Source organism: Homo sapiens, chromosome 15 (genome assembly GCF_000001405.40).
Source record: "Homo sapiens chromosome 15, GRCh38.p14 Primary Assembly".
NCBI classification, from domain to species: Eukaryota; Metazoa; Chordata; class Mammalia; order Primates; family Hominidae; genus Homo; species Homo sapiens.
Genome location: NC_000015.10, coordinates 49,883,542 through 49,895,649, shown reverse-complemented (window position 1 = coordinate 49,895,649; position 12,108 = coordinate 49,883,542). Strand labels below are relative to the sequence as shown.

Below are 12,108 nucleotides of genomic sequence, written 5' to 3'. Positions count from 1 at the left end.
AGAACAATAATTGCCCCAAAGACATGAGCAGCTTGATGGTTGAACCCAGCTGTAAGGCACACCACCTGTCTGTGATTAGGTTTCTGAAATGTTTGATTTAACTAACATGTTTCTTTTCTGTGTCCCTTCCTTTCCCTTTTGTTTTTTTACACTGAAATCTCTAGTTAATTGCACAATCTTCATTTTGAATCTATTGTTAGTCCCAGTTGACCATCTGTGTTCTTTCTTAAGCCAGTGAATTGGGTTGGACCAGTGGTTCTCAAGCTTTAGCGTGCATAGGAATCACCTGGAGGGCTGGTTAAAGCACTGCCCACTGGGCTCTAGCCCCTAGAACTGTACTTTGAGAACCACTGGGCTAGAAAACCTAGAAGAGTATCCCAAGTTCTGCTTCCTTGAACCCAGACCAGAGTAAAGTCCAATCTGCTGACTTTTTGTTTTGTCAACAACATTAGACCGTATTCATCTTTTCTAAAGCAGAGGGGCCAGTTAAGCCAACAGCTGATCTCCCCCAGTTGAATTTTTCCAGAGGATTTAAAATCCTTTCAGCCCTCTTGTCAGACCACTGTCCCTGAGGCATATTTTACCTGCGCTAAGACAGGGCCAGGTGGAAAAGGGATGTCTGTTCATGGTACAGGATTTCTTTCCCCAGTTTAGCCAGTCTATTATATCTTACCTAGCTTAACCATTAGCTCCTTGAGGAAAAGAAGTACATCTAACTCATCGATACATCTGTAATAAAATCTTGAATGTTACCTGCCATATAGAAGGCCTTCTAGTCATTTCATGTTGGTGGGTGTTTCTATAGTCCTTTCCCATGCTTGAGGCAGGTGCAGCAAAGAGAGCCATTCCGACGTGCCTCCAGTCACTCACACAGTTGCCACTTACTCTACCCACCCCAGGGGCCATCCCTGCAGGCTCTGGATCTGGTCTGTTTAAACGTGTGCAGCCTGATCACCACTGTGGCAAAGGGGCTCAGGGTCTTAAGATCTAAATGCGGTTATGGAACTGATTTCAGAATATGGAATGCTGTTTTTCTCAGTTGTGTTAATATTAATATGATACAATAGTTAATTGGGCTACAGGTGATACATTTCTTAGTTATTTATACATCCTTTCATTCTAGGAAAGACATAGAGTGGATTTTCCAGGTGTTTTGGCTGGTTCTTGTCTGATTTAAATAGGGCAGGATACCTTTTTTTACGCAGAGGAGCAATCACCATATAAAAATAATTGGGCCTCTGAATAGGAGTCCTGGACTGCTCTCTACTTTGCCCCGATTTGTACGATGACCTTATCACATTGGGACCAAAGCTTATACTGGAAAGGGTACTTTGGTCCCACTATTTAAGGATTTCACTCATTTAATAAATATTCACTAAGCCTTTGCTCTGTGTCAGGCCGTGGTGCCTCCTGGACCTTATGTCCTGGGTATGTTAAGAAGTGTGCTCTTGATGGGCATGGCAAAGTGTGATCTGACAAATTTTATTAGCTGTTCATGTTGTGGAAGGTTTAAGGTTTTATATCCAGACTTGTCAGAGAAGTAGATAGGCTTTCCAGGAGAGTGACAAGTAGTAATTGCTTATCACCTGTTGGAGAGGAGAGGACAGCCAGTCAGTGACAGTACCCATGTAGTGGCATCAATGCTGTGGGGTCAGCTTCTTTGTAGAATCATGATATTGTTGACACTAACAAGCAGGGATACAAACAAGTTATAATTATACCTAACATTTAAATAGTACTTACTATGTTTCAGGCATTGTCTAAATGTTTTACTTTTATTAGCTCAGTAGTTACAATAACCATATGAAGTAGGTTTTACAATCATGGTCTATATTAGCTTAATTATGGTAAAAAACACATAAAATTTACCAACTTAACTACTTTTAAGTGTAGAGTTCGGTAGTGCTAACTATGTACACATTGTTATGTAACAGATCTCTAAAACTTTTTCTTTCTGCAAAACTGAAACTTTATATCCACTCAATAACAACTCTGCATTTCCCCTAGTCCCTGGCAACCACCACTCTACTTTCTTTTTCTATGAGTTTTCCTACTTTAGATACCTCATATAAATGGAATCATATAGTGTTTGTCTTTTTGTGACATGCTTATTTCACTTAGCATAGTGTCCTCAAGATCCATCCATGTTGTAGCATGTGGCAGTATTTTTCCTCTTTTTAAGGCTGAATTGTGTTACATTGTATGTATATACTACATTTTGTTTATCCATGTATCCATCTATGGACATTTGGGTTGTTTCCACCTCTTAGTCTATATCAGCTCTTTGTTCGATATTTTCTAAATAATAATATTTGGGAGTTCTACTGTCCAGTAAATTCTATTTCTTCCCACTCTCACCTCCCCATCTTCTCTCTTCAGGCTTAAAAATTTACAGTTCACATTAGTCTGTGAATTGTAGGCTCTGACAAGTCCAAATGTAAAGAAACACTACTATATTTGACTCCAAGATGCATATACATGTATTCTCACATCTGACATCTCTAAGACTTGGATATGTCTTTACAATCAAAAGTATATTACAATATCCTTTGATCTGAATTGAAGTCAGGTTTTCCAGAGAGCATTTGTGTGACTTCATCCAGTTCCCTGTGGGCACTGCTGCCAACCTAAGATCTTTCTCTTTCCAAAGATTTTTTGAATTCAGATTGCAGATTCTAGTGAATACCAGCTTGTGGTCCAAGTTTTCAAGAGAGATTTTGTCTCTCCCTTTAGTTAGTGCAAAGTTGACGTAGGCTAGTTTCCTTGCAGTCCCTTTCTGCATGAAGATTTCTCTTTTACACTGAGGATGTAGCTCTTTGTTGCCCTAGCTTTATGGGAATGTTAGAGTCCCCATTTGGTTGAATTTTGGCATTGATAATGGTATTTCTTACAATCAATTGTGCTTTAGAGTCAATGAGATTTGGTATTATTACCCAAACTCATTTTGCATGGAACGCTGCTTTTTCTAAGCAACACATATAATGTCCTGTAGAACAGGTGCCATATGGAGCTCACTTTGGGACATTGTGGAATGGATGCTTCTATAGCAACAATTTCAAAACTTGACATTGCCTCACTATTTATCCCAGTTCTAGTGTTTTGAAAACAATAAGATGTACAAAGAGCAAAATGATAACAAGAATATTGTCCCCATAGGAACAGGCTCTTTATGTTTCTCCCTTTACAAAAACTTCCATTTTAATAATTAACTCTAGTCCAAGGGACAAAATACCCATTTTATATATCAAAATAAGGGTTTACGTTTAAACTTCTGCAAAGTCTTTTCCATTATTCTCAAAGTTTTTTTCATCTTATAAAAATATTTGTATGTGAATATATCTCAACTTTTATACTACTACAATCGTATTCTTTTATAGCTTTCTTATTAAAAACACAACTTGTCACACTTTAAGAAAGTTCTCTTGATTTACATTCTTCAAACATGTTATTTTTCTTAATGACATTCTGAAACCCAGATTATAAATTATTTAACTATTCTGAGTCTATAGACTTTTAAGATTTTTTTTTTTTTTTTTTAGGTGAGTCTTGCTCTGTTGCCAAGCTGGAGTGCGGTGGTGTGATCTCGGCTCACTGCAAGCTCCACCTCCCAGGTTCACACGATTCTCCTGCCTCAGCCTCCCAAGTACCTGGGACTACAGGCACGTGCCATCATGCCCAACTAATTTTTGTGTTTTTTTAGTAGAGACAGGGTTTCACCATGTTAGCCAGGATGGTCTCAATCTCCTGACCTCGTGATCCCCCTGCCTCGACCCCTCAAAATGCTGGGATTACAGGCATGAGCCACTGTGCCCGGCCCAAGATGTTGTTTTTAATTTAATAATTTCTGTCTTCCTCATCTGTGAGTCACATGACATTGTCAACTTGCTAATAGAAAGACTTGCTTGCTATCTTGGGAAGAGAAAACAAAATAATGAAAAGGACAAACTCTTGCCCACCTAGAACTGGTTTTTCTCATTGGGAAATAAATAAGTGCATAAATCAGTCTAATACAAATATTGTATTTAGTTGGGTGCAGTGGCTCGCACCTGCAATCCTAGCACTTTGGGAGGCCAAGGTGGGCAGATCGCTTGAGGTCAGGAGTTTGAGACCAGCCTGGCCAACGTAGTAAAACTTCGTCTCTACTAAAAATACAAAAAATAGCTGGACGGGGTGGAGCGTGCCTGTAATCCCAGCTACTTAGGAGGCTGAGGTAGGAGAATCGCTTGAACCTGGGAGGTGGAGGTTGCAGTGAGCTGAGATCACACCACTGCATTCCAGCCTGGGTGATGGAGCGAGACTCCATCTCAAAGCAAACAAACAACAAACAAACAAACTTGTATTTAAAGGTAATTTGAAAGCATGGGGAAAGGAGAAATGTGTGAGGATCTAGGATGACTTAGGAGGATCTGGGATGACTTAGGCACAATTAGTCTGCAAGCAAGTGTATGAATATTTTAAAAATTAAGTGGAGATCTGAAGGCCTGAAATTCTAGCTCCCTTCAGGGATTTGGGGCTTGATTTGCAGAAGGGTATGAGACTTTGGAGTAAAAGGAGGACATCCCTCCCCTCATACACTTTCCAACTGACCTGTAATTAGCTAAAATCTTGTAATTTCTAAAATTCTGTTTAACACCAACTCATTGAGAAATACCTTTCAAAAACTTCATGGCATTGAATGGGGAGCTTACTTAGCAGTATTGTCTATAGCAAGAAGCCTGTTCTAGAGCAGGTGTTCTACCACTGTAAAGCTGGAAACTCTGGTGTTCCCCAGCCACACCCCACATGGGAGTGGCCTGGCATGTTCGCGGTATTGAAGACTGGCTGTGAAGGTGGCTCGGATTTGGAATTGGGATTGGCAGGGATCATTGTCTCTTTTCCATTCCCTGTTTTTCACTGGAAGGGCCTGATTAGCAACAGGTTTAACTGAAAAATGTTTTGGCTTTTTTTTAGTCCTGTTTTTCTAAGGACAATATGCTGTAAATGAGGCAAGTGAAAAGAAAACAACATATTTGTAAGAACTACAGAGAATGAGAATTTTTGAATGGGGGACAGTTTCACTGTCATACTCTCTCACTTCCCCGTTAAGATCACCCAACATGTGGCTTTGGCCTCCAACACCATGTGTTGGGTGATGAGACTTTCTTAGCCCCTAAAGCCCCTTAGATAGCCACTTACTTCCAGTCTTTTAAAGAAAGTCAGCTGTCTGAGGTCTTCCCACTCCCTGCCACCCCTCTCCTAAACTGCTTTAACAGGATTGAAAGCTCCATAGTGAAATGGAGCCAGTAGTAATAACTCCAAGGCCTGGCAGATTTGGTAATAGCCAGCATCTCTTTAGAGGCCATTCCTGGGTAGGCCTAATCTTCCATCACTTTCTCTGTCCAGTCCTGACAGCAGTGAGACTCTCACACATATTGTCCAATGCAGAACCTGTGGTCTGAATGCTTGCTCATTTACCAACAATAAACTGGGTGCCAATTTAGGGCCAGGTGCTCTGATGGCCCCCCAGGAACAACAGAGTGAATCAAAGGGATGCTGTTCCTACCCTCAAGGAACCTACAGTCTGGGAAAGATTTTATTTTCATAAATGCATAACAAATGTTGAAAAATCCCATAATCTCCTTTCTTTTATTTCTCTACCAAAAATTTCTTTTGGAATAAATTTACTATGGATAAGCCATGTCTTGGGGCCAACCCTGTCAAATCACAGCATGATTCATAAGCGCCTAAATATTCTTCCGTGTACCTCTCAACAGATTGTTTGGAAGTAATCCTTTCTTCAGCTGAAAACATCTGACCAAATGTAAACAGATTGTGTTTTTTAAGACACAATGTTGACTTTCTAAAACACCAGCTTAATTATTTAATGAAGTGACATGTGCTGTTTCTTTACTACATCAGTCTGCCTTTGGGGCCTGGTGGATTTTATCCAGGCAATTATTATCTGATGAGAGCTCCAGCAGATTCCAGCCAATGCCCCATCCTGGTAGGTGGGCTGGGGCACATGTGTAGGCAAATCCAGCTGTGGTGTGCAAGGCTTCAAGAAGGCCAATGGGTGGAAGCATTACTGCCTGTGGGATGGTGGCACTTAGGACATCTGTGATGGATGGTGATGTGATGTAGTCTGGGTTGTCGTTGGTTTATGGACTTTCCTCTGGTTAACTTCAGTACGTTGCTTATGTTGTGATTGGCTTGAGATGTACAGTGAAAAGAACCCGCGGACCAGACTCCCTTTTGTTTCCTATGTTGGGTGGAATTTCCTGGGAGAAGCAGCGGGAACAAAGAACAAAAAGTATGTATCTTGTTGAACCTAGAATCTTTACTCTGGCAGAGAATTTCAGGGACATTGAGTCCAGTCCCTCGTTTTACAGAGGAGGATCCTGATCCTGCAGGAGCTGAGGATCAGCGGTAGGCAAGGCTAGGACCGGAACCAAGTCTCCTGGCTCCCACTTCAGCGCTCTGCCTACTCTACCTGATGATAAGTGACCTCTTGGGTTGTCATAAATTTGGAAAAGCTAATGGCCATATCCTTTTTTTTTTTAAAAATACTGTCTTCCCTCAACCCCTAATCAGAAAATGTTTGCTTTATTTGGAATCTAAAGGAGAAATATCCAGAAACACTCAGTTCAATATGACTATGTGGAGGAAATGAGCTCTCTATTGAAAGAGACCTCATGACTTGCGGGGTGTGTCATAGCTTAGAGCTGTGGGAGGGACAGGCCTGTCCCTAGGCGAACTGTTTGTAGAATCATCTGGAAGCTTGAGGACACCTTCTGCTGGCAAACGCTCCAACTCAACTGCCACTGAGAAACAAATTAAATATAATTTGTTCTAATGAGATTTCCAGCCAGATTTCTGGAACAGAGAGGTTTGGATAAAGGAGACTAGGTCTCTAAACTGAATCATGGATTCTTTTTAAGGACATGCCTTATCCCAATCTATTATTGAAACCCACATGAGTTTTGTGGCATCCACTGTGGGTTTGGATTCACAATTTATACCTGTAACTTATTTTAAAAGCACCCTATGCCTTCAGGACTTTTCGTAAAGAGGAACTGTCCCCTACCAAGGATACAGCCAAATAAAAAAAATTGGTTGAAGTCCTATTTAGAAAATTCATGCTTAAAATTATGCAACTACTGGTACTGTGTACTTGTGAGATGATATTATCTGATGACAATTTATCATTGTCAGTGAGATACAGGGCTGTGTATTTTTTTTTTCTTCAATTCTACTGTGATATGGAAGCAATTATCTTGTCAAGGCTGGAAAAACTTTAGTTCTGTCAAACAGTATAATAAAGCAACAAAAAGTTTGGAAAGTGACGTGAAAGACTGCGACTAATCTTAAGGCTTTGATGACTTCATGGATTTGGTTACCTGTGAGCCCGTCTCCACCTGGCATGGTAGCTCTGCTCCCCCTCACCTTCCAGATGTGCTCTGGGGAAAGTCCAGGACTGGACGAGTGCTCAGGCCTGGGTCACTCCTCCTGGATGCTGCGAGCGGGTTTTTACTAATTACACAAATCAATAACAGATGTGCTGAGGCTGAGCACCTCATATTTATTCCACAATGTGTTTTCTTTAAATGACAAATGTTTTTTAAGGCCCCCAAAAGGTCATTAGATAGGTTTCCTCTGCAACACATAGGAAAAGGGGGATACACATCTCCAAAGAGGTAGTAAGTTCATCCTGTTATTTGAACAAGGAGCTCAGCCAGTGGTCGAGCAGAAAGAGCAGAGAAAGCCCTTTGCAGCTGTTTAAGAACTTTATTAAGGTTTATTTAAATGTGTCATTCTATAAATCATAGGTTTTGTGTTCTCCAAGCTGTTTTTAGATTGTAATTTGTAGCTGGAGTATTTTTAACTCTATGTAAAATGGTTGATAAGGCTGATAAATTGCTCCCATAAAGAAGGGAGCGAGGAGCTTTCCTTAAATAGAAAAAACAGTGAAGTTGGAAAAATGAACTCTCCTCCCTGTTTTTTTTTTTTCTGATCTGTGAAGAGACACTTATAGGATTTTAAACAGACTTGTGACATCTTGTAGTAGCATGGCTTTTCTCTCTTGTTCAGAGTATTGGAGATAGGGAACAAATATTTTGGAGGCAGAGGTGCCATGGCTTCCCCTGTGAGTATGGGTGCCCTAGGGAAAATGGTTTTTTGTGGGACTCCTTTTATATAAACAATTTGAGTCACCCAAAATCAGAGTGTCGACCTAGAAATCTGAAAAGAGTCATCATCCCTCAACCTCCACCCTGCCCCTCTCTTCAGGGCATCTGGTCAACCTGTGTTGGGTGGGTTGGGAGGGAAGAAGAGGTGGTAGAGTGCCCGAGCATGCTTGGAAGGGGAGAAACAGGGAGGTTGATCTGGGCTCATGTGCCCCTCTCAGCTAGTCCTAGTCACCAGAAGGGGGCCTTAAAATTTTTCCAAGGGGATCTAAGGACCACAAGTAGAAGTGGGGCATTTACTAGAATAACTATTTGAGTAGCTGGAGATCTCTTGCAAGGATTCTTCAACAGAAACCTGTTGTAGAAGAAACATTGCTTGGCCAGGAACGGTGGTTTATGCTTGTAATCCCAGCACTTTGGGAGGTCAAGGCAGGTGGATCACCTGAGGCCAGGAGTTCAAGACCAGCCTGGCCAACGTGGCAAAACCCCGTCTATACTAAAAATACAAAAATTAGCCAGGCATGGTGGCAGGCACCTGTAATCCCAGCTACTCGGGAGGCTGAGGCAGGAGAATCGCTTGAACCCAGGGGGCAGAGGCTGCAGTGAGCCGAGATTGTGCCACTGCACTCCAGTCTGGGCAAAAGAGTGAAACTCTGTCTCAAAAAAAAAAAAAAAATTGCTTGTGGCCTTAATTTCTGTGAAAGACCCTGAAGTCTAAACTGTGCTAAGCCAATGCCCATATGGCAAAGTTGGTTTCTAAGGTAAAGGACTCAGGTTAACACATTTTGGTAGAGCCTGAGATAAAAACCAGAATTAGAGTGAACAGTGATTGAAATAATTAAGTATTCATGAAGAAAGTAATTGTACCAAGGTACTCATTTTTCTTTAAATCTTGTTCTGATGTTATATTGATCTCATGGCTACCATAGTTTATTATAGAAATAAATATCTATGGTTAATTGTCTCAATAAAGAATTCTATTTTTATAAAAATATGATTAGCATGAAAATGTACCTTTTTATTTACCCATTAAACACATCTCTTGAAGCTTGGATCCCTGCATGCTCCCCCCATCCTCCCTCCTTTCTTCCTTCCATAATATGGTGCTCACTTATTGAGCAGTGTCTTTCAGGTGCTGTCGTGGCATTTACCTCATTTCATTGAATGCTCACAGCCTCCCTGTAATCCTCATTTTATAGCCTAGGAAACCAAGACACAGAGAGATTGAGTATCCTACTCAAATTCACACAGTTCTGTCTGCCGACTCCCTTACCCTTAAGACACCAGCTTCCTTTTATTGAGCAGGTTCTGAGTTTGGTTCTTGGGCCCCACGGGTGAGTTAGATTACCCGCTCTCAAGTAGCTCACAGTCTAGTGAGACAGGGCTAGGAACCAGCATATAAATAATTGTAAGTCAGTAGTTAAGAAGCAGTGAGGTATAGGGGCATCATGGAACTACCGATGAGTGGTCCAGAAGCCACTCATGGAGGCACGGAGTGGCCAGGACTCAGAAAGGCTTCCTGGAAGACCTGCCCACTCCCCCTCCCATGCTGACCCTTCCAGGATCAAACATATTGAAGCAGATGAGAAGTAAGAGGATGGACATCCCAGCAGAGGAGACAACAGGAGGAAAGTTCCAGAAGTGAAGAATAGCTTGGGCAGGAACACAAGCCATCAGGTATCTGGGGAGTGATTTGATATGGGGTGTTGGGGAGAGGGACAAATCTCAGATTTCTGATTTGGATGCTGGGGTGGATGTGATGGTATCAGATACTGGTATAGGGAACCCAGGAGGGGCGTCTGGTTAAGGTAATATGAGGATGAGCTCTGGTCTTGATATATTAAGTTTGAATCTATGGTGCATCTATGGGAAAATGCCTAGTAGAAAGTTAAATATGTAGCATTTACTAAAAAGTTGTAAAATAATTAATTCAACAAGTATTTATAGAGTACCTACAGTCAACAAATATTTGTAGAGTATCTACCAATGGCTAGATCCTGCTCTGGGCATTAAAATTATAGTTGTGAGTAAATTTCTGTTTTCATGGAGATTATATTCTAGTGGGATGAAGACAGATAATAAAGACATAAATCAGTAAGATAATATCAGAATTGTTAAGAAAGAACTTGGTAATGTAAAAGGTCTCACTGAGAGGGTGAGGTGACACTGGAGTTGTGACCTGAGTGTTCAGAGGAAACTTCCATATGAATACCTTGGGATTAAAGTGTTCCAGGCAGAGGGTACAGCCAGTGCAAATGTCCTGAGGCAGGAATGAGCCAGATAAGTTGGAGAAAGCCCATCAGCGAAGCCTCAGCTAGGTGAGGGAGGGTGAGAATGTTGTGAGGTGAAGTTGAAGAGTCTGGCAGGCAGGGGACCAGGAAGGGCTCTTAGGACATGACGAATAGGGAGTCTGGATTCATTCCAAGTAAAATGGAAAACCATTAGAGGGTTTTAACCCAGGTCAATGCTAATGTTGTTATTTTAAATCAGTGGTCCCCAATCTTTTTGGTACCAGGGATGTTTCATGGAAGACAATTTTCCACAGACCAGTGGGGGTGGTTTTGGGATGAGACTGTTCCACCTCAGATCATCAGGCATAGAACTGGCATATGCACAGTTCACAACAGGGTTCATGCTCCTATGATAATCTTATGCGGCTGCTCATCTGACAGGAGGTGGAGCTCAGGCTCGCTTGCCTGCCACTCACCTGCTGTGAGGCCTGGTTCATAACAGGCTATGGACTGTTATAGGCTGTTGGGGACCCCTGTTTTAAATGCCAAAAAATAGCATATAAAATTGTGTATGCTCTCAATTACATTAAACAAGGTGAGGGAAAAAGCCTTCAAGGAAACTTTCTTTTTTTTTTTTTTTTTTCTTTTTTTTTGGAGACAGGATTTCACTTCTGTCTCCCAGGCTGGAGTGCAGTGGTATGATCTCGGCTCACTGCAGCCTCTGCCTCCCACGTTCAAGTGATTCTCCTGCCTCAGCCTCTCAAGTAGCTGGGATCACAAGATGCACACCATCATGACCAGCCAATTTTTTGTATTTTTGGTAGAGACAAGTTTCACCATGTTGCCAAGGCTGGTCTTGAACTCCTGAGCTCAAGTGATCCACTAGCCTCGACCCCCAAAGTGTTGGGATTACAGGTGTGAGCCACTGTACCAGGCCAAGGAAGCTTTCCAAATGACACCACTGATTGAGAGAGGTGGTTTCATGTAGTGGTCAGTGTTGTGGGCACTAAGGTTCATAGGCTTGGAGTTAGCTCTGACACTTGCTTGGCTGGCGTTCTCAAACTTTGTGATCTCAGGACCCCACTATCAATATTTATTATCTTAGGAATGAAAATGAAGAAAAAAATCTAAATACTTTTATTAATTTGTTAAAAAATAGTGAACCCATGATGTGTTTACAAAATGATTGTATTTTCCAAAACAAAAACAAGTTAATGAGAAGAATGCCATTGTTTTACACTTTTGTAAAACTAGTTAACATAATAGAAGACACCTGGGTTCTATATCATCTGCATTCAACCAGCTGTGATGTCACATATCATACAGACTCATGAGAGAATGGGGTGAAAGGGTAAATACATAACTTTTTGTATTATTGTGAAAATAGTTTTGACATTATGGATCCCCTAAAAGGTTCTGAACTATACTTGGAAAACCTTTTTTTCCCCTTTGGGTTTTTTTTTAATATAATTTAAAAAAATTGTGGGTACATAGTAGGTATATGTATTTATTGGGTACATGAGATGTTTTGATACAGGCATGCAATGTGAAATAAGCACATCATGGAGAAAACCTTTGCATTTAAGGTATGACATTGAGCAATCTCCTAACCTTGATAGGCCTCGGTTTTCCCATGTATAAACTGGGAACTATCAATAGTACCTACCTTATGTGGTTGTTAAAATTTAATGAGCCGATATATGTAAAGCACTTAA

The 12,108-nt window shown here is 41.1% G+C and overlaps 1 protein-coding gene across 44 annotated transcripts in view; it reads left to right on the top strand.

Annotated features, from left to right (window-relative positions):
- ATP8B4 (ATPase phospholipid transporting 8B4 (putative)) overlaps positions 1-12,108 on the top strand; it is a 323,617-nt gene that overhangs the window by 286,205 nt on the left and 25,304 nt on the right. The window contains exon 24 of one of the 44 annotated variants that reach the window (XM_047433099.1): positions 6,369-9,156. The exons of the other annotated variants lie outside the window; for them this stretch is intronic. Coding sequence (XP_047289055.1) covers positions 6,369-6,419 — 51 coding nt within the window. The 3' untranslated portion in view covers positions 6,420-9,156. Of the gene's footprint in view, positions 1-6,368; positions 9,157-12,108 lie in introns of those variants that run through there. 44 annotated transcript variants of the gene reach the window in all.